General features: G+C 47.3%; 2 pseudogenes across 2 annotated transcripts in view, besides 1 other annotated feature; one reads left to right on the top strand and one right to left on the bottom strand.

The window, feature by feature from the left end:
- The window catches only part of SMG1P1 (SMG1 pseudogene 1), a 55,213-nt pseudogene extending 50,142 nt beyond the window's left edge, over nt 1–5,071 (bottom strand). Inside the window, exon 1 of the transcript NR_027154.1 lies at nt 4,587–5,071. The product of NR_027154.1 is annotated as an SMG1 pseudogene 1 (transcript). The remainder of the gene's footprint in view (nt 1–4,586) is intronic.
- Nucleotides 4,361–4,860: a silencer, noted in NCBI's record as "silent region_7270". NCBI's record gives its function as "represses an Ori minimal core promoter by ATAC-STARR-seq in GM12878 lymphoblastoid cells {active_cell/tissue: GM12878}" and the evidence as "EXISTENCE:reporter gene assay evidence [ECO:0000049][PMID:35858748]".
- On the top strand, nt 4,618–23,407 carry RRN3P3 (RRN3 pseudogene 3; annotated as a pseudogene). Its single transcript, NR_027460.2, has 7 exons — nt 4,618–5,074; nt 6,267–6,397; nt 7,268–7,452; nt 9,245–9,353; nt 12,131–12,283; nt 15,713–15,866; nt 21,485–23,407. The product of NR_027460.2 is annotated as an RRN3 pseudogene 3 (transcript).
- The last annotated feature ends 2,017 nt before the right edge of the window (nt 23,408–25,424 follow it).

Here is a 25,424-nt window from a genome sequence, read left to right as displayed (position 1 = left end):
GAAAAACATAAAAACAAATGTTCCTTTAGTTTTAATTTTTATTTTTTAGTTTATTATGGCTGTTTTACTCTCCCCCAAGTAAAACAGCCATACACAATTTGCTGAAATTTTCCTTAGTGTACTTTGAAATCTGTGGAACAGAACTGGCAATCGCTAAATTCTATTTGACTCTAGTTCCATTTAATATTAGACTGGTGTGGAAGTAACTGCGGTTTTTGCCAAAACCGCAATTACTTTTGCACCTACCTAATAGGTATAAAATATGTAACTTCACTTAATTTTATCCTTTATGTATCTCCCTATATTATGTACCTATGGACATCAAACTTAGTACAGACTGATAAAAGGCTGAATAGACAACTCTGGTTTCAAAAATCCAGCTTCTCACAACATCAGACATACTAGTATACAGCTTTTCTAATTTCACAACACATTTCCATTTTTTGGTCTTTCACAATAGAGAAGATGTGTGTACTTTTGAATACTCTGATCTGTCTACAATCTACCAAAATTGGAAGGTGTTTTTATTATACAGTTTCATCCTTTTAGAAATATAGAAAGATCCTAAGTTTGGGCACAGTAAGACACTCAATATAGATCTACTACTAAACAAGTAAGACCAATTACACAATTAATGTCCTAATACCCCGAGTGGAGAAGTAAAATCTACTTGTTTTCTGTTGACTTGAACGCCTTCTCTTCTTTGTTGAATTAATCAATCTATTTGACTCCAATGTCAAATTAATCAATGTCACTTTAGAATATTAAAATGTACAATTATGAATTACACATTTAATTTTAAAACACATCATTCTGATCTCTGTCTTGATTGATACTAGAAGATTATCTTCCAAACTAAGGTGGAAAAAATGACAGACTTTAGCTATTGGCAATGATAGGTCATTTTTTTAGGGAAGAGGAGTAAAGAGGGCCACCTCCATAGGTCAGATATCCCTTTGTTCTAAGAAGCCACCACCCCTGTTTCTTCATATGAAAAAAACCAGAGGCATCCAGTGGTTCCCAAAACCTTCTCAACTTTACGCTTGAGGAACCCACAGATTTCAAATAATACAACTGACCTAAGACACTCATTTGTTTAACCATTCTTTTTTTAACTTTTTATTTTTTTTGAGAAGGAGTCTTGCTCTGCTGCCCAGGCTGGAGTGCAGTGGTGTGATGTCGCTCACTACAACCTCTGCCTCTCAGGTTCAAGTGATTCTCCTGCCTCAGCCTCCCGAGTAACTGGGATTACAGGCATGCACCACCACATCCCGCTAATTTATTTATTTATTTTTTTTTAGTAGAGACAGGGGTTTCACCATGTCGGTTGGCCAGGCTGGTCTCGAACTCCTGACCTCAGGTGATCCACCCACCTCAGCCTCCCAAAGTGCTGGGATTACAGGCGTGAGCCACTGCCCCCGGCCTGCTTAACCATTCTTAAATGTCGGGTGCAGTGGCTCACACCTGTAATCTCAACACTTTGGGAGGCTGAAGGTGGGCAGATTGCTTGCGTTCAGGGGTTCAAGACCAGCCTGGGCAACGTGGTGAAAACCCCATCTCTACAAAAAATACAAAAATGAGCCGGGCTGTTGGCAAGCGCCTGTAGCCCCAGCTACTTGTGGATGCTGAGGCAGGAGGCTTGAGCCTGGGAGGTCGAGACTGCAGTAAGCCAAGTATCTGTGCCGCTGCACTCCAGCCTGGGTGACACAGCAAGACCGTCTCAAAAAAATTGACAGAAGAGTTGACTGAGAGCACAGTGAATGAAAAGGAAGACTATAAGCCAGTGCCATATAAATGCTTACTGTTGGAGGTATGCTTCTATGGAACACGGGTTTGCTCTCTTGCCATATGACATTCACATATTCAGCCACCTGGAACACTTCCTGTCAGTATGTGTGAAGTATCATGTGTGGTCAAAATTGTCTCAACAGTCATTTTCCACACCAACTGGCAAACTAACACTAAAAGAAATCAACAAGTATTGCTTTTTCAAAAGCCTAAATCGGCTGAGTGCGATGACTTACACCTGTAATCCCAGCACTTTGGGAGGCCAAAGCAGGCGGATCACCTGAGTCAGGAGTCCAAGAACAGGCCGGCCAACATGGTGGAATCTCGTCTCTACTAAAAATACAAAAATTAGCTGGACGCCTGTAATCCCAGCTACTCAGGAGGCTGAGGCAGGAGAATTTTTCCCTGTAACCGGGAGGCAGGGGCTGCAGTGAGTTGAGATTACACCACTGCACTCCAGCCTGGGAGACAGAGCAAGACTCCATCTCAGGAAGACAAAAAAAAAAAAAAAAAAAAAGCCTACATCAAGGAAAACAGAACCAAAACACCAGGGACAAAATGGTACATAAGAGGCAAAAAAATTTTCACCAAAATTATTCAGATGAACAATAATAAATGTGCCTGCATCTGAAGATGTTCTAAACCTTCATTTAAGCAAGAAGCAAGATCAAGATCTGTTCCGTCAGTTACCTGGAGTCTGTCATCTTTCTGAATAGGGGACAGAATCACCTCAAATTTAACTAATAAAAATTTATGACTTGGCAAACACCCCAGGTATTTTTATTGACTAACAAATCAGCTATGACAATCTTAGCAACAAATCAAGTTATGCTATGGGGTATGTCCACACTTCCCTGTTCCCTCTACAACAGGAGAAAATCAAATTTTTCCAACATCCTAACAAACTGTTACTGCCTGTAACCAAATGTATCACAGTATCGTCTACCAAGGCGTTACATCCTGAAACTTTCCTACAAAAAGCACAGCTTCAAAGAAACCTTGCAAGCTTTCTTGTAAGCTCCTCCCTTCCCCCATCGCCCCTCCCCAGAGCCAAGAAATAAAGCACTTGAAAGAAACAACATGGATAATATTTATTAATAGCTCATGTACATATTCCATAACTACATAAGCCATTTGGCTTCATACCTGTCAGCAATGAAGTCAGCTGGCCCTAGCACGTGGCTGCGACTCTTCTCTATTTATTTAGAACTACAAACTACAATTTACACTTTTCCAAAAGCTGTAGGACTATTTGGGAAGGGCACTTTATTCTTCTAAAAGGTTACTAAATTCTCTTATATACTTATACTGATCACAATACTGAAAAATAATAGAAAATCCATTGTCATTCATTTACCACCTAATTTGTTAAGATGCCAGAAAACCAAATTTTACACATTTCAATAAAAAGGCAAAACTAAGCATGTCAATCATAGGAAAAAAATACTTAATCAACTAATTTTATTTAAAGCACTCACAAACTCTTAAGTGGTACAAGACAAGTCAACGCTGTTTATCGAACAATATTTTTTTTTACGACTAAACATCTCAATTCTAGACTCAGGCACTAATTATTAAAGTCATGTAGTTATATACACCAATTCTCAACAGACACAGTTTTTTTTGGAAAGGCATATTAAACAGACTAAGATGTGTACTACCCATTAGCCAAAGATAATTTTATTGATTTTTCTAACAAGTCTTCAAATGTTACATTCTAACATCTTAGCAAATTATTTCCAAATACTGCTGGAATTACATGTAACTATCAGGAAACAAAAGGGCTTCTCAACAACTTGTGCGTTCTACATTATCTGGCCAGTTTCCGGACAATTATAATACAATTGTGCTCCAAAGTAGGAGAGTTCCATGAATCAATTACCCCTAAAATATATTTCTGTATATTTAAGGAGTTCTAAGCATTGGGTTAAATTCCAAACAGACTCTGAATACAAGCATTTATTTAGTAAGAGAGGTTAGAATAAATCAATCCTAAATTAGGCACAGCTGCCCTCCCCCCATTGATCAAAAAGACAGGAAATTACATTTATTTAAAAAGTTAATGTTCCTAATATATTCAAATCTAACTAAGCCCCAAAACGGTCTGACATCAAATCCTCCATAAAAGAGGAAATTCTCTAGACTTCTAAGTGGGTGCCCAGAGTTCACTCAAGTGTCCAGGTATGAATTACGATTCACCAGAGTAACCGGCCTTGCACTTAGGGAAAACTTCCATCGCCCAAGACCAGAGTAGGTCGATCCCATCAACAGTCACACAATCTCATCTCACGCTCCACTAATGAATGTTCTGCCTAAAGTCAGAGCAATGCCTTAGCTGGAGTTTTGTTTTGGTTTTTTCAATATTACCACGTGGGGGTCACAGAAAGGAACAGAGGTTAGAAGAGCTCTCACGTGGCGGCTGAAAGACTGGGGAACCGAGAAAGTGAATGAGTAACAGGGAGGGTCCTGGACTCTCAGGATCTCCCAACTCGGGGTCAGGGGGAAGCGGTAAGTGGAATGCCCCCCGCCCCCCCACCCCCGCCTCTTTCTCACCTCCTGGTCCCGACCCTAGGCCAGTGCCACCGCCGGGAGCCCCGGGTCTCGGCTTCAGCCCCGGGCTGAACAAGCAGGGAGGGGAGAGGCACTTAGGCCTCGCCTCCCCGCGGCCTTCCTCCCCCAGCCGGGGCGGAGGAGACCCAGGAAGCTGCGCCCGGCTCCCGGGGGTGGAGGGCCTAGGCCTCGGCCCGCCCGAGGCGGAGCCCGGGAGGTCGGGGCGGGGTCCCGGGCCGGTCACCCACCTGGGTTGCCAGTCATTCCAGCTCCGCGAATAGTTGGTGCCGTTGGTGCCGCCGCCGCCGCTCAGCCGAGACCCCGGGGCTCTGCGGCTCATTACCTTCCCCGACACGACATGGCCAAGCGCCGCCGCCCAGAGAAGCGCGAGTCGCCGCCCGAACCGGCCGCCGCCAACACCCCGCTCCGGCCCGGGGCTGAGGAGGAAGCCGAGAAGGAGGAGAAGGAGGAGGCGGCGGCGGGCGGGGGAAGAGGACGACCGTTCCGGGTTCCGCCTGAGCCCGCAGCACAGGACGAGGAGGCGGGAGCGGCGCGGTGAGAGAGAGGTGGATGAAGGGGAGGCGACGTCTCTTCCAGGGCCGTGCGCGGCCCACGTCGCCGGGGCCGCGGAGGACGAGGACGACGAGGAGCAGGCGGTGGCGGCAGCTCCTCACGCTCACAAGGCCACTGCTAACCCGCCTCCCGGCTCCGCTGGCCGCGCCGCCGCTATCGCACGGTATGCTGGGAGCGAGAAGCGGGGTCGGCCCCGCCGGGCCTGGGGAGAGAGGCGGGTCCTGTCGGCGGGGATCTCCACTAGTGCGGCCACACACTTTTCTCCCGAACGCTTCCCGGAAAGCACCGGGATTTTAAAAACTTTAGGCTTTGTCTTTTCTTCTTCTTCTTCTTCTTCTTTTTTTTTTTTTTTTTTGGTGGGGGAAACAATATAGAAGGCTTTTCCTTCTCTGCAACGATTTTGTGGCTTCCTAGAGGTCAGGAGAGTGTTGGTCATGGGAAAGAAGGTTGAATTCAGTCTGCCCACATGGGCGTGCCTAGCTTTAGAACAGCGCTATTTAGGAGAAGTTGGAAGTTACACCCTTTGGTGAGAAGCTGTGTCTGTTTTTTTCCATGATTGGCATAATTAACTCAAATACCAGCTGTACGTTAGTCCGTATTTCTGTTCATGGTTGAGTTCAGTGTGTCCAGAGACCGGAAGGTGCTTTGCACTCACAGGAGTGCCCATGTGGAGCTCCATGGGATGTGAATTATTGTTGGTCACCAGTTCTGGCTGACATTGGAATCACTTGAAGAGTTTTTATAATATGTGGATTCCAAAGCCCTGTCACAAACCTATTGAATTTGTACCTCCCAGGTTGAATTTTTTGTTGTTTTTTGTTTGTTTGTTTTTTGAGATGGAGTCTCACTCTGTCACCCAGGCTGGAGTGTAGTGGCATGATCTCAGCTCACTGCAACCTCTGCCTCCTGGGTTCAAGCGATTCTCCTGCCTCAACCTCCCAAGTAGCTGGGATTACAGGCACCTGCCACCACGCCTGGCTAATTTTTGTATTTTTAGTAGAGAGAGGGTTTCTCCATGTTGGCCAGTCTGGTCTCGAGCTCCTGACCTTGGGTGATCCACCCGCCTCGGCCTCCCAAAGTGCTGGGATTACATTTACAGGCGTGAGCCACTGTGCCTGGCCCTGGGTTGATTTTGATGCTTAGCTAGGTTTGGGATCCATTGGATTATTTAACACCCGAGGTGCCTTTTGTTTCTAATGATATTCTCTCAACGTGTTTTAAAAATGAAGCGCATGAGATAGTTATGAGATAGTAGAACTTTTCCCTACATTGGTGAAGTAAAAATCTTGGGATTTTGATAGTCAGATTATCTTAGGCATTAAAAAATATCACACCGACGCCCTCTCTTTTTATAGGGATTCGCAGAGGCATTTTTGGAACATCTTTGGAAAAAATTGCAGGATCCAAGTAATCCTGCCATCATCAGGCAGGCTGCTGGAAATTATATTGGAAGCTTTTTGGCAAGAGCTAAATTTATTCCTCTTATGTAAGTAGCCTAATTTTCCGAGTACTTTTTAATATCATGCTTTAAAAAGAGTATAGCATTGTCTCAAGTCAGAAATATCTCCCATATGTTTTTGGCATGTTTTTAAAGTGAATAAAATTCCTACTCTGTGTAAGATGTTTATATTTCTAAGTGGTGATTTTAGAATAAAGTGTCTCCTTTTTTATATATAAAACCCTGTATGTAAGGCTTTTGTCATCTCTTTTGTGTGGTTGCACTTAAAGATCCATTTGTTTTGTGGATAGAGGACAGTGTTGTATACTGTTTTGATTCTTTTTGTAGGTTTGTCATTTTTTCATTTGCATTCCAAATCTATTGTATCTGTTAAAGCTGAAGAAAAACCCTTTTAAAGGTAATAGACCTATCTAGGAGGCCAGTTTCTTTCAGTGGCCCATGAAGATATCTTTGGACAAGGATGCTGTTGAATCCCTTCCCCAAGAACAAAATTATTCACCATAGGACTTGACTGGATGCATCAGGGAATACTGAAGTCCACCAGACTGTCTTTCTCTTGAGACGTGTTGGTGAACATGTCCTATTTGGCCAATCACCCTAAGAGGGGTGCCTTTGAGATGGTTAGGAGAACCTGCTTTCCATCCCTTGGGACGTTCTTAGGGGCTCACCTGTTCCTAGAAGGTCAGAGCTACTCTGCCTTGTAATTGGAAGGTTGTCTTCCTACGCACCCATCCTTATCCTTCCTTTCTTTGCTTTTCCTCTGTACCCATGGGTATTATTTAAAGAAACCTATGAACTTACTTAGCATGGTTTGTAATGAAAGGCAGTTGTGTGTTTTTATGTTATTCTGGTTTTTTTATGAAGTGTAAAGTTGACTTGAATTTTTCTTTTCTCTAGTACTGTAAAACCATGCCTAGATCTTTTGGTTAACTGGCTGCACATATACCTTAATAACCAGGATTCGGGAACAAAGGCATTCTGCAATGTTGCTCTCCATGGACCATTTTACTCAGCCTGCCAAGCTGTGTTCTACACCTTTGTTTTTAGACACAAGCAGCTTTTGAGCGGAAACCTGAAAGAAGGTCAGTGTTGTGGGAGTGCTGGACTGGATTTTCCTTGTGTTCTTGTCACCCTTCAGAATGGTGATTCATTACTTTTTTGAGATTTTTATAAAAACTGGATTCAGAAAACTGCATGTACACTCAAACTTCTAATAATAATTTCAAGCAGCTCATAGGCCCCTACAAACCCCTTAAGATAGATTTGAGCTTGAGAACCCTACAAACCCCTTAAGATGGATTTGAGGTTAAGAAAGAGGTTTCTGCCTTTGAAGGTTTGAAATGTGAAGATGTCTCCAGAGGTGAGGCTGAGCCCTGGGCTGTGCCAGCGCCCTGTACAAAGCTTCAGTTGGATGCACCTTCTCTTTGTTGTCCTTGTAACAGCCCAGTAAATGGCAGGTATTCTCCCTTTACAGACAGCACCAAAGCACGGGGAAGTCATTTTCCCAAGATCACATGGTTACTGGCAGGATTAGAAAACTGAAGCCAGGTTCAGCTGACCCTAAAGTTTGAGTTTATATAGATTACACTCTGCCTGAAGCCTTGAGACTTAATTGACCAGTATTGTTTTGCTAATTTCTAAGAGTTACTTATAATTCAAATCTATCAGTTGAAACTTACTAGATTAGCGTATTTTAGTTGAAGAGAGTCTCCAAGAACAGTGTTTATAAGTCATTGTAAATTGTTCTGTTTATGTTTATGAATAATTCATATGGTTTTGTGGGTCACTTCCTCTAAACCAGGGTCTGTCAACCCTGCATGATTGCCATTTGGGCTGCATCATCCTTCATCGTCGGGGGCTGTCCTCTGCACTGTAGGATGTTTAACAGCCTCCACCTACTAGCTGCCAACAGCAGTCCCTGACCACCCCCAGCTGTGACAACTAAAAGTGTCTCCAGACACTGCCAGGTGTCCTCTGTGGGGGTTGCAGTCTCCTTAGGTTAACAGCCACAGCTCTAAACTGACAGTTGTACGTGTTGCATTATATATGTTTACCTACATCCTACATGCTTCTAAAAGATGTTGTATGAACTAGTAGGATGAGGTTTTATCACAAGGTAAGTAAATACAAGCTCTGCTTTTCTTTGTATAAATTAATGCCAGGAATCTGAATTAAATATCTTGTTTTTGTAAGCAGTGACATCCCATTTAGGTAATTTTTATTGAAATATGCATCAAAGAAACTCCTAAGAAAATATACTTAAGTACAAGTTGGTCAGCTTGCCTCTTAAAATAAATGTGATGTCTTTATTTTACTCATGTAGGAAAGAATTGTATTTATTAAGTCTAAGAAAGTGGCTTCTGTCTAAATTTGCCGTCCGTTGAGGTAGAAGGCAAATTTGGAGTTTTCTTGTTTAGAAAAAAAACTACAGATGACTACTGTGCACCTGAAAACAGCACTCAGCTTCACTAACGAGACATGCAAGCTAGAATCAAATTGCTGTTTTGTTTTGTTGCCTGTCGTGATTGTTAGCTGAAACCAAATCACAAGGTCTTTTTCTCCCTCTGTATTAGCTCAGCATACACTGAGCTTACAAACGTATGAACTTCACGTTGTCGTGGAATCTTACAGCCTGCTACTTCCTAAGTTTCCTTTAGAGAAGCTGCCTTGGTGACCAATGAATGTGGTTAGCCTAGTGATACTCTTCTGGGCCATATACTGTGTGACTATCTGCATGGACCTTTATTGAAAGCATTTCTGCAAATAATTTTTTTAAGTTTTTTTTAAATGTGTGATAATTTGTGCTTTTAAAGATATCTTACACTTTTCACTTATTTGTACCTTTAAAAAATCTTTTTTTTTTTTAAACCAAAGGTTTGCAGTATCTTCAGAGTCTGAATTTTGAGCGGATAGTGATGAGCCAGCTAAATCCCCTGAAGATTTGCCTGCCCTCAGTGGTTAACTTTTTTGCTGCAATCACAAAGTAAGTTATTTACGCTTTCTTGATGGGAGTTATTTAAAATATTTTTATTTATGTTTATCTAGTATTGTAAGAGTCTGTTAAATTTCTATGAAATTAGTAACATTATAAAAGGCCAGGCGTGGTGGCTGACACCTGTAATCTCAACATTTTGGGAGGCTGAGGTGGGAGGATTGCTTGAGGCCAGGAGTTAAAAGACCAGCTTGAGCAACATAGTGAGACCCTATCTCTATAAAAAAATTTTAAAAATTAGCTGGGTGTGGTTGCCTGTGCCTGTAGTCCCAACTACTCAGGAGGCTGAGGTAGGAGGATCACTTGAGCCCAGGAGGTCAAGGATGCAGTGAGCCCTGATTGTACCACTGCATTCCAGTCTGGGCTCCAGAATGAGACCCTGTCTCTTAGACAAACAAAAACAACCCAGTCCTTACAGGAAATACTGTGATACAGCTATTGTTTTTATACTTTGATGGCATTGGAAATTACTACTACTTCTTATCCAAAGGGCAGCACTTTGAAATAAGTATGGCAACCAGTAAGCTGAGAGGGGCAAAGCCATAGATGCTTATTAGAGTGACTCCTGTAATAGTAATAGAAATAAACTGGACATGAGGCAAATGTTGACCTGTAAGAGATTGGTTTAGAGAGTTCTGTTCTCTCAGGTCTGGTAGCTATGGCTAATCCATAGCCTTTCCTCTGTGCCAGGCAGTTCTAAGCACTTTACATAGAACTCATTTGATCCTCAAACAACCCTCTAGGATGAAACCCTGTTTATCAACAGGGAGGTGGAGGTACAGAGAGGTGAAATCACTTGCCTAAAGTCATAGAGCTAGACTGGCAGCACAGATTTAAATGTAGTCTGGCTCCTTTGTAAGCTTTCACTAAGTTATTCTGCTTTATGGAGAAAGCGAATTGGAGAATTGAATATTCAATGAGGATATTTAGGCCAGATCATAGCTTAAAATCTTCAACAGATAAGAGCCAGCAGCTTGCTGAGCTCTGTCAGCCTCTTTAGTTCTCCTTTGCTAGGCGTCTGGTTCAAGGTGTCCTCTCTTCTGAGTCTCAGTGATAGTAAAGGATTAGGAAAAGGCATAAAGAGACCAATAAGCAACGGCGGTGAGTGGGTGGAGGCTTCAGCACGTTGGTTAAGATGGTGAGCAGCTCAAAGAGTGAGGATGGATGAAGCAAAGCAGAGGCCGCTGCCCCTGGTATGTTCTCAGGGTGGGGACAGAGGACTGCATTTGTGAACCATCTGGTCCAGGGGCTCTCGATTTGGGGTTGGCATGCGCATTGGAGGGACAGAGTGTGATGCGATGTGAGGCTAAGAGCAGGGGATTGAAATAAAAGTCTCTGCCTAGGTACAGATATGGTAAATAAAGGCGTGTACCATTCTGTAGCTGTTGCTTTTGCCTGCTTGATGCTTTTGAGATTGAACCATATTGACACAAAGCTTTATATTGATTTTAACTGCTGTGTTATGTTCTGGGAATCTTTTTTATTGAGTCTTTGTTGGGATTTCATCTGTTAGTTTTTGTCTTTTTTTTTTTTTTTTTTTGAGACAAGGTCTTGCTCTGTCACCCAGGCTGGAGGGCAGTGGCGTGATCTTAGCTCACTACAACCACCACCTCCCAGGCTCATGCAGTTCTCCTGCCTCAGCCTCCCGAATAGCTGGGACTACAGGCGCCTGCCACCACACCCAGCTAATTTTTGTATTTTTAGTAGAGACGGGGTTTCATCATGTTGACCAGGCTGGTCTCAAACTCCTGAGCTCAAGTGAACCACCTGCCTCAACCTCCCAAAGTGCTGGGATTACAGGTGTGAGCCACCGTGCCCAGCCGGCTGTGTTAGTGTTTTAGTGCTCAGGAACATTCTTGTGTGTGGGCACACGCTTCCTTGTCACACACCCGGAAGTGCGGTCAGCTGCGGGGTTGTAGGAGATGTAGATCTTCAACTTTACCTGATAGTGCAAACCACCCTCCAGTGTGGTTTTGCTGATGTGTCCTCCACCAGGAGGAGGGGTCAAGTGCCGTGAGCCTTGGCTAACAGGACAGAAATCAAAGTATGTGGCTTGAAGTTGCCATGGTGACCGGAGAACCTGAGATGGAGAGTGACAGAAGTGAGATCTAAGTCCTCATCTTGGAGAAGCTGTCCAATAAATAATTTTTCAAGTTGCTCAATCATTTAGAGACAACTACTGGAAAAATTAAAAACATAATTGTCTTTATTTTATGTTTTCTTCTATGCATTTAACTGTTCTCACTCGGCATGCCTAGTCCTTTCTGTGCCTGTTTTTGAGGTCATGACTTAGTCAACCCCATGTCCCTCCTTCAGTAAAGGCTTATTTCTTCTTCAGTGCTTCTTCAGCAAGTCTCTTCACCAACCACTATTTCCTCCTGAGTAACTCCTGAATCCCTTTTCCACCAACCTTCTAATTCTTTTGCAAACAGTAAAAATAAAGACACCTGTAGTTATGTAATCTAAGAGTTTTGCCTTGCAAACATTTATTTTTAATGAATAATATCTATTACTCATTAAAATATAAGCCCAGTTTCACATTCTGAGTGATAGCCACGTTTTCTTTCTCCTTAGCAAACTTGCAGATAGAAGACCCATAGAACGGTACCCTAAAAGTGTTACTTTCTGCTTTATATTGTTATTTTTACCAGCACTTGTTATATTCAGCAATTTCTCTGTGGTAGGTACAGTTGTCACATGCAGCTCACATCCGCAGAGTCACTCCAGCATGTTAATGCCTCTGTCTGTGTTGTTTTTTTGTTCCACAGTAAGTACCAGCTCGTCTTCTGCTACACCATCATCGAGAGGAACAATCGCCAGATGCTGCCAGTCATTAGGAGTACCACTGGAGGAGACTCAGTGCAGACCTGCACAAACCCACTGGACACCTTCGTCCCCTTTGATCCCTGTGTGCTGAAGAGGTAGGTACTTTTAAACATTGATGCTGGAGGAGGTGGATTTTTTTTTCTTTTTGAGACGGAGTCTCGCTCTGTCGCCCAGGCTGGAGTGCGGTGGTGTGATCTCGGCTCACCTCAAGCCAGCTCGCCCACCCTGGCATGAGCTGGCTCATGCTTATAATCCCAGCACTTTGGGAAGCCAAGGTGGGTGGATCACCTGAGGTCAGAAGTTCAAGACCAGCCTGGCCAACATGGTGAAATCCCGTCTCTACTAAAAATACAAAAATTAGCTGGGTTGGTGGCCCACACCTGTGGTTCCAGTTCCTCGGGGGTCTGAGGCAGGAGAATCGCTTGAACTTGGGAGGTGGAGTTTGCAGTGAGCAGAGATTGAGCCACTGCACTCCAGCTTGGGTGACAGAGCGAGACTCCATCATGGAAAACAAACAAACAAAAAAAAGCACTGCCATCTATGAATAGCAGCATGGCACAAAACAGAAGCCACTAGAGAGAGTATTGCGGGACCCTCGTTTTATGTAGCAAGAAATGGAGGCTCAGAGAAGGGGCGACTTCCAAGGGTGAGTGACCCAGTGCAAGGAGCCGGCTTCCGTTCGACTGCAGATTCTAGCCCTTCACCAACTCACTTCTCCTCACCAAGGGCTTCACTTGCACCACTGCAGTCTTCCTTTCAACAGTCGTGGGAGACACAGACCAGTCCCCATTTTACAGATGGGGAAAAAGGAGGCTTGGGGAACTCCTTGGCCAGAGGCCACAGAGGCCTCCCAGTGGGACTCTGTGCTCTGCAAAGAAGGGAATCTGGGGAGCAGGCACCCTTTAGAGAAATAATCTGCATCGAACATCCACAAAATCCAGCAGGAGGCCACCAGGAGCTGACCCCCATGCAGAGAGGAAGCACCAGCACTCTGGGTGAGTGAGGCCAAGGTCACAGTCAGTCCCCAGGAGAGCCGGCAGCCGGCCCAGGGCCCAGATGGGCCTCTGGCTCAAGCCCAGCAGAGGCTGTGTCCACTGGGCCTTGAGGTCTGCACGGGAGGCCCGTCCCTCACCCCCCAGGGCAAGAACAAGCCCACGCCTCAGCCCTGTTGGCGGTGGAGCAGGAACATCCCTGCAGTGCTTTAAGGGCACACTTGTTATTTTTTGTTCAGCTCGTGGCAGCAGGTGTGCCTTGGAATCTAGATGTTTTTTGTATCCCCAAGGGAACCCAGGCTCAGGTTTTAGGCTAGAAAACAAGACAACTGCAGATGGTAATTATCCCCCAGGATCACTAGTCAAAGGCTGCTTTTGGTCAAGAATCTCAACCTGCGTGCCTGTCTGTGTGGCACACCCTCCTCAGGAACAGCCTCGCAACTTTCCCTGGAACCTCCCCTTCCCCACTACACCTGGTCCTGGCGAGGATATTATTCACATCAGTGAATAAAATGCTAATTTTAGTGGGGGGCTGACAAACAGTTCTCACACACCAGTGTGCACCAACATCCCCTGGAGAGTGTGTTGGAGCACAGACTCCTGTCGGCCCGGCGGCTCACACCTGTAACCCCAGCACTGTGATAGGCCAAGGCGGGAGGGTAACGAGAATGCATCTCTACAAAAATAAAAATAAAAAAGTTAGCTGGACGTGGTGGTGCATGCCTGTGGTCCCAGCTACTCGGGAGGCTGAGGCAGGAGGCTTGCTTAAGCCCAAGAGATTGAGGCTGCAGTAACCTGGGATTGTGCCACTTAACTCCAGCCTGGGCAACACAGTGAGATCCTGTCTCTCAAAAAAAATAATAATAATAACAATAACATACACACAACACAACCTGTGCTCCCTCTAGACATTCTGACTTGGCAGGTGCAAGGCAGATCCAAGAATCTCATGCCAGCAGGCTCCCAGGTGCCGCTGATCCCGCCAGTCCGTGGCTTTGTAAGGGTATCTGCTGTGTTGCTGGCTCGGCTTCCATCCTCCTGCGTCCTGGGTCCAACATTCCTGTTTTCCTTGGGAGCCCATCCCCGACTCCCATTCACGGGGTCCAGAGACAGGAGTGGGTGGGGACCTGGGCATGGCCACTCAGAACAGCCCTGTCACTGGCTGCAGCAATTGGTACAGGCATGGGCACGTGACTCAAGACCAGCCAATGAGAGCCAAGGAGTTTTTTTCTGGGACGTATTTAAAGAGATTATTTCCATAGCTGTGCCCCGCAGCAGGTGAGGGCCCTCCTGAGAAAGTGTCCACACAGGAGGGCAAAGCCAAGGTGGGGGATATCAAGGCCCAAGCCAATTTCGGGGCCTCTGAATGTAGCTGTACCTGAAGCCAAGTCAACCCCTGTACTAATAAGCCTCTTTTTAAAATCAGTTTGATTTAAGTTCCTATCACTTGCTTCCAAGAGTCCTGATACAAGCAAATAAAAGTGGCCAGGTGCAGTGGCTCATGCCTGTAATCCCAACACTTTGGGAGGCCGAGGCAGGTGGATTGCTTGAGGTCAGGAGTTCAAGACCAGACTGGCCAATATGGTGAAGGCCCATCTCTACTAAAAAATACAAAAATTGGCCGGGTGCAGTGGCTCACGCCTGTAGTCCCAGCACTTTGGGAGGCTGAGGCGGGCAGATCACCTGAGGTCAGGATTTCGAGACCAGCCTGACCAACATGGAGAAACCCCATCTCTACAAAAAATACAAAAGTAGCCAGGCGTGGTGGTGCATGCCTGTAATCCTAACTACTTGGAAGGCTGAGGCAGGAAAATCGCTTGAACCTGGTAGGTGGAGGTTGCGGTGAGCCGAGATCGTGCCATTGCACTCCAGCCTGGGTGACAAGAGTGAAACCTGGTCTAAAAAAAAAAGTAAAAATACAAAAATTAGCTGGGCGTGGTGGCAAGCACCTGTAATCCCAGCTACTGGGGAGGCTGAGGCAGAAGAATTGCTTGAACCTGGGAGGCGGAAGTTGTGAGTCGAGATCACGCCACTGCACTCCAGCCTGGGCAACAAAGTGAGACTTAGTTTCAAAAAAAATAAAATAAAATAAAATAAAATAAGTGACTAAATTGGCCAGGTGCAGTAGCTCATGCCTGTAATCCCAGTGCTTTGGGAGGCAGAGGCAGGTGGATCACCTGAGGTCAGGAGTTCCAGACCAGCCTGGCCAACATGGTGAAACCCCGTCTCTACTAAAAATAGAAAAATTAGCCAAGTGTGGTGGTGCGTGCCTGTAGTCCCAGCTACTCAGGAGGCTGAGGCAGGAGAATTGCTTGAACCCAGGAGGCGGAGGTTGCAGTGAGCTGAGATTGCACCACTGCCCTCCAGCCTGGGTGACAGAGCAAGAAGACATTGTCTCAAAAACAAACAAACAATCAAACAAACAAACAAAAAACAGTGACTAAACTGAGAGCAAAGAAATGGAAGGGAGGGAGCAGGAGGATCATCAGTTTCCATCCTTTTACTGTGTGCTCAAATGTAATTTGGCTGCAGGTGAGGTCTGTGCAGACCCTGGGTGAGGGGCGAGTTGGCTATGGCCTGTTTAACTCCACCTGTGCAGACTGCAGCTCAGCCTCGTCCATGCTTCGTGACTCAGCCTTGTCCTCAGGGAAGCTGGGGCTGGTGCAACTTTCAGAAGTGGTCCCAGGTAAGCCTGGCCCTCCTGAGTCCATGGGTGGGGAATGCTGGTACAGGCCTAGCAGCTGGCTTTCCGGGGCTGGGTGGAGGTACAAGAGCGGTGATGTGTGGTGTTCGCCACTTTCCATGGTGCAATTACCCCTGCATGGCCGAGTTCAAGTTTTGAAGGTGCAGTCACCAATAGTGGAGTTGGGAAGAGATTTGCACAGTCAGCTCCAGAGCCAGCATGCACCATCTCCCACCCGTCACTGCCCCCTGCCTTCCTCCCTCTTGTCCCTGCAGCCTGGGATCTCACTGCTGCTCTCCAAGTGAGGAATTCCAGTAAGGCTTCTTAAGACTTCTTTTTGGTTTACCTGGCAGAACCCCACCTCAAACTGGCTTAAGCAAAGAAGAGGGAGATTTGCCAGCTCCGATCCTAAAGAGTCAGGGCTGCAACCGGGTGCAGGGGTTGTCGACTGCCAGGGCTCTGAGTGCTCCCCCAGGCTCTGCTTTCCCCAGGGGACACTCATGGGGGTTCCCTGATGGGGCAATGGTGGCCACCCGAGGCTGTGGCTTGGCCTCCAGTGGAGCGACGTCACCTCTTTCCCGGCAGTTCCAGCCACCATCCCAGGGCTGATTCTCAGGGGCCCGGCTTTGGCTGCTCATCTGGCCAGCCCGAGGGTGACCCCGCCTGGAGCAAGGTGTGCTTGGAGAGTGGGAGGCAGCACTCCCGCAGGACAGCCGAGGACGCTGTTCCCAGAGTGAGGATGGGGCGCCCTCCTCACTGGACGTGCGTCCTGGCCATGGACCCCGAGCTGACCTCGGCCCCTCCCTGACTCGGTTGCTCTCAGGTCCAAGGCCACTGCTGCTGTCTCTGTCTCCCAGTGTCAGCCTCTGACCTTGTCCCAACCCCACTTTTGGCTTCCCCACCGGCTTCACATCTGCTCAAAGGATCTAGGCCCTCCCTGCCACAGACCGAAAGAAGGATCCGGTGTCTCTCCCGGGCCATGGAAATGAGCTGGGTCATCCCTCCCTTGGCTCCCATCCACGTGGGCCAATCTGGTTTCACTTTATTTGTCATTTTCTCCAAAACCCAGTTTCCTTTTTATTTCTCTCCTACTCAGCTTCACTTGCTCCCGGTCCCCTCCCCGTCTCTGCAGCTGATTTTTCCAGGTTCTCGGTCCTCTCCTTCACAGATTTTCTGTCCTCTTTGTTCACCCAGATTGGGAATCTGGAGCTGCTGGGGATGGAGGGAATGAGAACCTCAGATGAAGGACAGGTAGGGCTAGAGAAAGGTTTTCAGAGAGAAACAGAGAATGAGATGAAAACACAGCAAACCCTGGATGGAAGGAGGGGCAGTGCCCATAAGACGAAGGGAAGGGAGCGGACAAGGTGCAGAGAACTGCACACAGACAGGCTCCCGAGGCCTGGGCCACACCGTGGCAGGGCCAGAAACAAAGCGAAACAAACAGAGAGGCCAAGGAAATTTCCGTTGGTGGGGACACTGCCAGCAGTTTTCCTAGGAGCTGGGGGTGCCAGCACTTGGAGCAAGCACGGGCCAAGGACGATGAGTAACAGAGGTGGCAGCAAGGGCTCTTTCCAGGGAGTGTGTATGGCCTTGAAGGCCAAGGAAGAAAGGCTGGGGGAGCAAAGCGGTGGGGAGGAGGGAAGGGGGAGAGGAGAGGTGCCAGTCACAAAGGAAAACAGCAGCCAGATCCACGCGCTGCCACACTGTGCCTGTCCCACCTCGAGTACCCCCGCAGATAGCTCAGCTCATTCCCTAAAGGTGCGGGAGGGCCCAGCTCATTGGGCAGGGCTGTATGAAGCGCTTGGCACCATTCCGGGAGAATTAAGCATTTAGTAAACAATAGCTTCCTTCAAAATAAATCCAAACGAGGCCTGAGAGCCCGGAGTTGGGGGGTGCCTGCCAGGCTGTCCGCATGAGAGGAGGAGGTTCTAGGGACGTCTTGGCTCCTCTAGTGGGGCACAAATCGGCAGCTTCAAGATGAGAGACGGGAAGAGTGAATTCCTTGGAGGGGAATCTTGGCACTGTTGGGACTGGCACTGTGGCTGTGCAGTTCAAGGACGACCCCTGGACTGAGAGGAAAGGATGTGACCATCACGCTTATATCCCGGGAAAGTGATTTATCATTGCAAATTCATAAACTGGCAGTCTAGTTCCTAAAACGACTACATGTGTGTGCACGTGTGTGTGCATGTGTGTGTGTTCATGTGCGTGTGTGTGCATGTGTGTGTTCATGTGCATGTGTGCACATATGCACTGTGTATACATTGTGCATGTGTGTTCATGTGTGTGTGCCCGTGTGTGCATGTGTTCGTGTGTGTTCGTGTGCGGGTATGCGTGTGTGCACTGCATGAGCATGTGTGTATACGTATGTGCATGTGTGCTCATGTGCATTGTGCACATGTGTGTGCACGTGTGTTGTGTGTGCGTGTGTGAACACATGTGTGTTTCCATCTCCATTCTGTATGTAGCTCCTGTTTCTTCCCTCAGGCCTGGGTGTGAATATTTTTGGGGAAGTTAGGTAGAAGTCAGTGTCGCCTCGCTCTCTACAGATGTTTTCTCTGCTTTCTGGTCCTCAAGACTGAAAAATGAAAATGTACCAAACAGCTTTCAAAGTTTACCTGTTAGAGATTCAGCCACTGGGGAGCCACTGTTCCTGTTCTTGCTCACTTCAGATTCTAAATTCCCAGAGCAGTGACTCTGATTGGCCCAGCCCTGCACTAATTAGGAGCGGGACTGAGGAAGGGGCTCTGATTGGTCCAGCATGGTTTGAGTGCCCATCCCTGTCCAATCAATTGTGACCAGGGGTGGGATCATGTTAGACAAAATGTCAGGCGGTGGAGTCACTGTTGTTATCATTTGGATCCAAAAGCCCATTTCTTTTTTCTTTTCTTTTCTTTTCTTTTTTTTTTGAAACAGAGTCTTGCTCTGTCGCCCAGGCTGGAGTGCAGTGGCGCGATCTTGGCTCATTGCAAGCTCCGCCTTCCGGGTTCACACCATTCTCCTGCCTCAGCCTCCGGAGTAGCTGGGACTACAGGCGCCTGCCACCATGCACGGCTAATTTTTTTTTTGTATTTTTAGTAAAGACAGGGTTTCACCATGTTAGCCAGGATGGTCTCAATCTCCTGACCTTGTGATCCTCCCACCTTGGCCTCCCAAAGTGCTGGGATTACAGGCGTGAGCCACCGTGCCCAGCCCAAAAGCCCATTTCTAATCGTCCACCTTCCCAGATGCTTCCCAGGTGCACCGTGACCCCTGTGTGCTGTGTGGTCTTTTGTAGGGAGAAAGGATCAATCAAGAAAGGGAAACCCCTGCTCCCATGGAGCTTGCCTTCTGGTGGAATAAGAAAATTAGTAAACATTAATTAATAAATAGGTACTTCTCTATGCAAGTTTACAGAAAAATAAACAAATATGTACATAAGAAAGAAGATGGTTTTGGATAGCGATAAGTGCTGGATGAAAATGAAACCAGGTGATAAGCCAGCGATGACTCCACTGAGGGAGGTTGTGAGCGTTACACAACATGGTCAGAAAAGACCCCGTTGGACCCAAGTCCCAGCTGGTAAGAAAGTGCCAGCTTCATGACGGTGGGGAGAAGCATTCCAGTATCACCGTTTTAAAATATGAGCATCCTAAATATTACACAAACCATACTTACGCTAAATATTTGGGATCTACACTAAAAATGTAGTGTAGTGTAAAAATGGGGTTTCACCATGTGGGCCAGGCTGGTCTCGAGCTCCCAACCTCAAGCTATCCACCCACCTCAGCCTCCCAAAGTGCTGGGATTATAGGCGTGAGCCACTGCACCCAGCCAATCTGATGGGTTTTTTTTTTTTTTGAGACGGAGTCTTGCTCTGTCACCCAGGCTGGAGTGCAGTGGCGCGATCTCCGCTCACTGCAAGCTCCACCTCCCGGGTTCACGCCATTCTCCTGCCACAGGCTCCTGAGTAACCCCTTTTGCTTGGTTCTCATTCTCTCTCTTGGCTGCCACCATGCAAGACCTGCCTTTCGCCTTCTGCCATGATTGGGAGGCCTCCCCAGCCACATGGAACTGTGAGTCCATTCAACTTCTTTTTCTTTGTAAATTACCCAGTCTCGGGTATGGCTTTATCAGCAGCATGAAAACAGACAAATATACTGTTGTTTCTTATTAAATGTTATTGGCTTATTTTGAAAACAAAAGCTTACCAAATACATGTGATTATGGGAAGGGGCCAGAAAGTTACACTGCAAGTAAAAATATCAGTAACTATGTTTACTGGGTGGCGATGGCAAAAACAATAGTTTTTCCTTTTTTTTTTTTTGGAGACAGGATCTTGCTCTGTCGCCCAGGCTACAGTGCAGTGGTGCAATCACAGCCCACTGCAGCCTCGACCTCCGGAGCTCAATTGATCCTCCCACCTCAGCCTCCTGAGTAGCTGCATCTACAGATGTGAGCCACCAAAAAAAAAAAAAAAATTATTTTTGACACAGGATCTAGCACTGTTGCCCAGGCTGAAGTGCATCTGGGCTCACTGCAAGCTTCTCCTGAGCTCAAACCACCCTCTCACCTTAGCCTCCCAAGTAGCTGGGACTAGAGCCTCACTCCACCACGCCCGGCCTTGTTTTTCCTTTGTGAACATCGTTCTACAATGCTGTGGGTACATCGCTTTTTCAATATGAAGTTTTCTTTGGAAGTTTATAAATCCAGTTTGGGCCTTGGAGGAAAGCAGTCAGTGATAGAAATTTTGTGACTCTGAGTGAGTTTGGTGGAGCTTCGAGTTGTAGATTGTTTCCCAGGGACCGCTGCAGACACAAAGCCCTGACTGCAGGATCCCCAGTGATAAAAGTGATCAAAGGCGAGTGTGATCAGACGTGCGCTGCAACGCGAGTTGAGGTTTCATCGAGCCTCATTCAGTGGCTCCTGGGGCAGTTGTGTGGATGAAGAGGGCCATGTCTGTGAAGTGCTCAGGATGGAGCTGGTGGTGGGGCGGCCATGCCGGCCACATGGCTCACACCCCTCACCCGTCAACTCGGTGCCCGGCATTTTCCTTAGCTCCTCTGTGGATTAATTCTCATTCTGAAGACGGGAGGCTGAGGTTTCATCTCAGCTCTGTTCCTGGCTCATTGCTGCGCTTCTCTGTACCCGTCCCCTCCCCTGACTAGGGGAATGAGAACCTTGCCTATGGAAACACTTAGGGGATGGTGGCCCGTGACTCCATGCCAGCCCCTCCCAAGCCCAGCCACCAGCTGAGGTCCTGACCACCTTGTGGACCACCCGGTCCTCCAGCCCTGCGCCCACCCCCGCGTCCTCCCTCCTGCTCTTTCGTAGTTCCCTTGTGTTTCTCTGTGCCAGTAGCTGAGCCCCCGTGCCCACCCACTGCAACTGCACCTTCCCTCCCTCCAGGCTTCCCCACTGCGTTGCTCCCCTGCAGGGGCCAGTGAGTGGCTCTAGCTGTGTTCAGACAGCTCTGTGCCTCCTCCTCCCACCCCAGTTCCTCCGCCTTGGAGACAGACGGGGGTGCAGCGGGGCTGAATGGCACTCCAAGCTCGTGGGGCTGGGGAGTCCACATCTGCACCCGCCGCGTGGCTAGCACCCCCTGAGCGTTTTGGTCAATTTGCCATCATCCCACCCCTCAGTGCCGTTGGTGGTTGCCTGACGAAAAGCTGCACTTAATAGAAATCACTGTGGATGCAGGAGATGGACGGTGATGAGCTCAGGACCAGCCAGCAACCCCATCAGGCGGTAATGCCTACCATGGTCACCCATGACTTCCTCTCGCCACTGCTCGGAGCTCCTGCAAAGCCACAGGCAACAACACATTTCTGCTCCGTACGAGAAGCTCCTATTGTAAGTCGGTGACATGGCTGGGGTTTTCTCTCAGCAAATATTGAGCAAACACTGACTGTGCCAGGTGATGTGCTGGGTCCCAAACCCTTCCCAGACCCAGCCCTGGCACTCACGGAGATCCAGCTAGGAAGTCCGGGAAAAGGTCATCGGGGAAATAAACAAAGTCAAGCACAGTGGATGAACGCGCTGCTGCCGCTCCCCACACCTCTTGTGGTGGACATCACTTACGCTTCCTCATGGTGCATGTCACTTATGCTTCCTGGTGCCCTCCCAGATGACCCCCCCTTGGGCCACTACACACAGCTGCACCCGGCAAGAGCAGACAAGGATGGTCTACTCACTGAGCCTGCAAGGCTGGTGTGCAGGACAGGCCAGCTACACTCCCCAGGTGTGTGCAAGACCGGGGACGAGTCAGTCATTGGGAGGTGAGGTGCTCGGGCAGTGTGGGATGGAGGAGGAGGGAGGGAAACTGAGTGTGGGCTCTTCGTATTGGAGAGGAGGGGACGGCCATGGCACAAAGACTCAGATGGGAAAGTGTGAGAAAGCAGAGATTTCAAAGGAGCTACGGTGGAGACCCACAGAAGAGGAATGCTGAGGCTTTTCTGTCTGAAATGCTGAATAGACTCTAGCACACGCAAAACAGCCCACCACAGCGAGCTGCAGGATTCTTCCGGGCTTTTAACAGTGGTCTTGTAAAAAAAATTAGCCGGGCATGGTTGTCCCAGCTACTCAGGAGGCAGAGAGGGGAGGATGGCTTGCGCCCAGGAGGTTGAGGCTGCAGTGAGCCATGATCGCACCACTGCACTCCAGCCTGGGTGACAGAATGAGACCCCTGACTCAAAAAAAAAAAAAAAAAAAAAAAAAAAAAAGACTGGAACATTCAAAACCTGTTGATGGGCTCAAGAAATTCTCAAGAAATTCTCTTGCCTCAGCCTCCTGAGTAGCTGGAACTACAGGTGTGCACCACCACATGTGGCTAATTTGTGTATTTTTTGTAGAGACAGGGTCTTACCATGTTGCCCAGTCTGGCCTTGAACTCCTGGACTCAAGGGATCCAATGACAGGCGAGAGCCACCATGCCCAGCCACATTTTTGCTAAATTCTTTACACTGGTGAATCTCAAAGAATTCTCTGATCATCACACCATATCCTGCTAAGTGTGCAATTAACCTGTGGACTTCAGTTGGACACTTTCAGATTAGCATTAGCTATGTGGGGCCACCAAATGCCAACTGTTAAATTATCACTCAAAGATAAATGACACTTGAGTGTGCTGTTTGAGTTTATACCTCTAAAAAATGCTTATAGTACCATGAGACTAGTGTGCCAACGTGTCTGGCTGCCAACGTGTCTATAGCTGAGCCAATAAGAATTAGTCTCTAGAGCCTCTGTTTCCAAGGAAGTCAATCTCTAGATTCCCACATTGGCTGCATGATGGAATAAGCCAGGGGCTACGAAAAATACTGATGCCTGTTGAAGCTTGGAGGAGCTGGGGTTGGGGTGTAGGGCAGTGATGATCACATATGAATAGAACTGGGAGTCTTTAGTGTTACTGGTGGCAATGTTGAAATGCATGAGGGTTGTTTATTGTATAATGAAGTATTTTTCACATGAAGTCATATGAAGTATTCCATTCCACTGTATTTGTTCTTATTTTAACGATACAACTAGGTAATAAAGGAAATGAAGTATTGTTTTATATTTTAAAAAAACACATATGCCTGGATCTCACGCCCCAGACATTCTGATTTAACTGGTCTAGGGTATGGTCTGGGCATCAGGACTTTTTCAGGCTCCAAGTGATTCTAATGTGCAACAAGGTTGAGAACTATTGCTTTAGGGCCTTCGTGTTCTTTGAGAATACAAAGAAAATTCAGAGAGATAGGTTAAAAACACACTTGCCATTCCTCCATTGCTCTGACATCTATCAGCAAATAAGCTATAACAGGAAATACAGGGCTTTGGGTCTTTTCTATTCCAGATTCTGTTCCTGTCCTCTTTTAGCCACCAGGGTTTTAATTTTATTTATTTATTTATTTATTTATTTATTTATTTATTTGAGACAGAGTCTCGCTCTATTGCCCAGGCTGGAGTGCAGTGGCGTGATCTTGGCTCACTGTGACTTCTGCCTCCCGGGTTCCAATGATTCTCTTGCCTCAGCCTGCTGAGTAGCTGGGATTATAGGCACGCACCACCTCGCCCGGCTAATTTTTGTATTTTTAGTAGAGACAGGGTTCCACCATGTTGGCCAGGGTGGTCTCAAACTCCTGACCTCAGGTGATCTGCCTGCCTCAGCCTCCCAAAGTTCTGGGATTACAGACATGAGTCACAGAGCCCAGCCTAATGACTGATTGATTGATTGTGACACAGGCTCTCACTCTGTTGCCCAGGCTGGAGTACAGTAGTGAGATCATAGCTCACAACAGCCTCGAATTCCTGGGCTCAAGTGATACTCCTACCTCAGCCTCCCAAGTAGCTGGGACTATGGGCATGTGCCACCACTCCCGGCTAATTTTTTTTTTTTTTTTTGAGACAGAGTCTGGCTCTGTCACCCAGGCTGGAGTGCAGTGGCGCAATCTTGGCTCACTGCAAGCTCTGCCTCCCGGGTTCACGCCATTCTCCTGACTCAGCCTCCCGAGTAGCTGGGACTACAGGCACCTGCCGCCATGCCTGGCTAATTTTTTTTGTATTTTTAGTAGAGATGGGGTTTCACTGTGTTAACCAGGATGGTCTCGATCTCCTGACCTTGTGATCTGCCTGCCTCGGCCTCCCAAAGTGCTGGGATTGCAGGCATGAGCCACTGCACCCGGCCAGTCCCAGGTAATTAAAAAAAATTTTTTTTGTAGGAATGGGGTCTTGCTATGTTACCCAGACTGGTCTCAAACTCCTGGCCTCAAGTGATCCTCCTGCTCTGGCCTTCCAAAGTGCTGGAAGATGAGAGCTACAGATGAGAGCCACCACACTTGACCATCACCAGGGTTTTCTACTACAATATTGCTTGAGGCTTTTACTGCTACTTGGATTTCAAGCAATGTCCCCAGTTCAGGTGGAAAACAGTCACCTCGAAAATGGAGAAGATGAGTCTGAGGAAGAATTACATTCTACAGAAGAAATGCGGTCCAGGACAGTCCACATTCACTTCCTTCATTCAGATACTCATTTCTTAGCCACAATTACCCAATTTTGAGCCATGCTTCTATAATGAGATACCACTGAGTTCTGCGGTTCTAACTCCTTAATCTCTCATGTCAGTCTCCTCTTGCCTTCTGTCTTCCACTGCTTTAGGGCTTGGATTACATGCGTGAGCCACCACACTGGCCCCATGCACAATATTAACCAGTGGAACCAGCATTCCTCATATAAAATCACTTTGTTAGCCTTCTAACTGTTCTTTGCAATCCAGCTAACATCCCTTCAAAACACACTTCAGGGTAATCTTTTATTTTATTTATTTATTTTATTTATTTATTTATTTTTTTTTTTTGAGACGGAGTCTTGCTCTGTCACCCAGGCTGGAGTGCAGTGGCACAATCTCAGCTCACTGCAAGCTCTGCCTCCCGGGTTCACGCCATTCTCCTGCCTCAGCCTCCCGAGCTGCTGGGACTACAGGCGCCCACCACCATGCCCGGCTAACTTTTTGTATTTTTAGTAGAAGCGGGGTTTCACCATGTTAGCCAGGATGGTCTCGATCTCCTGACCTCGTGATCCGCCCACCTCAGCCTCCCAGAG

The sequence above is a fragment of the Homo sapiens genome, chromosome 16 (assembly GCF_000001405.40).
Source record: "Homo sapiens chromosome 16, GRCh38.p14 Primary Assembly".
Taxonomy (NCBI): domain Eukaryota; kingdom Metazoa; phylum Chordata; class Mammalia; order Primates; family Hominidae; genus Homo; species Homo sapiens.
Note: the sequence above shows the minus strand (reverse complement) of the source record. Positions and strands in the feature narration are given on the sequence as shown.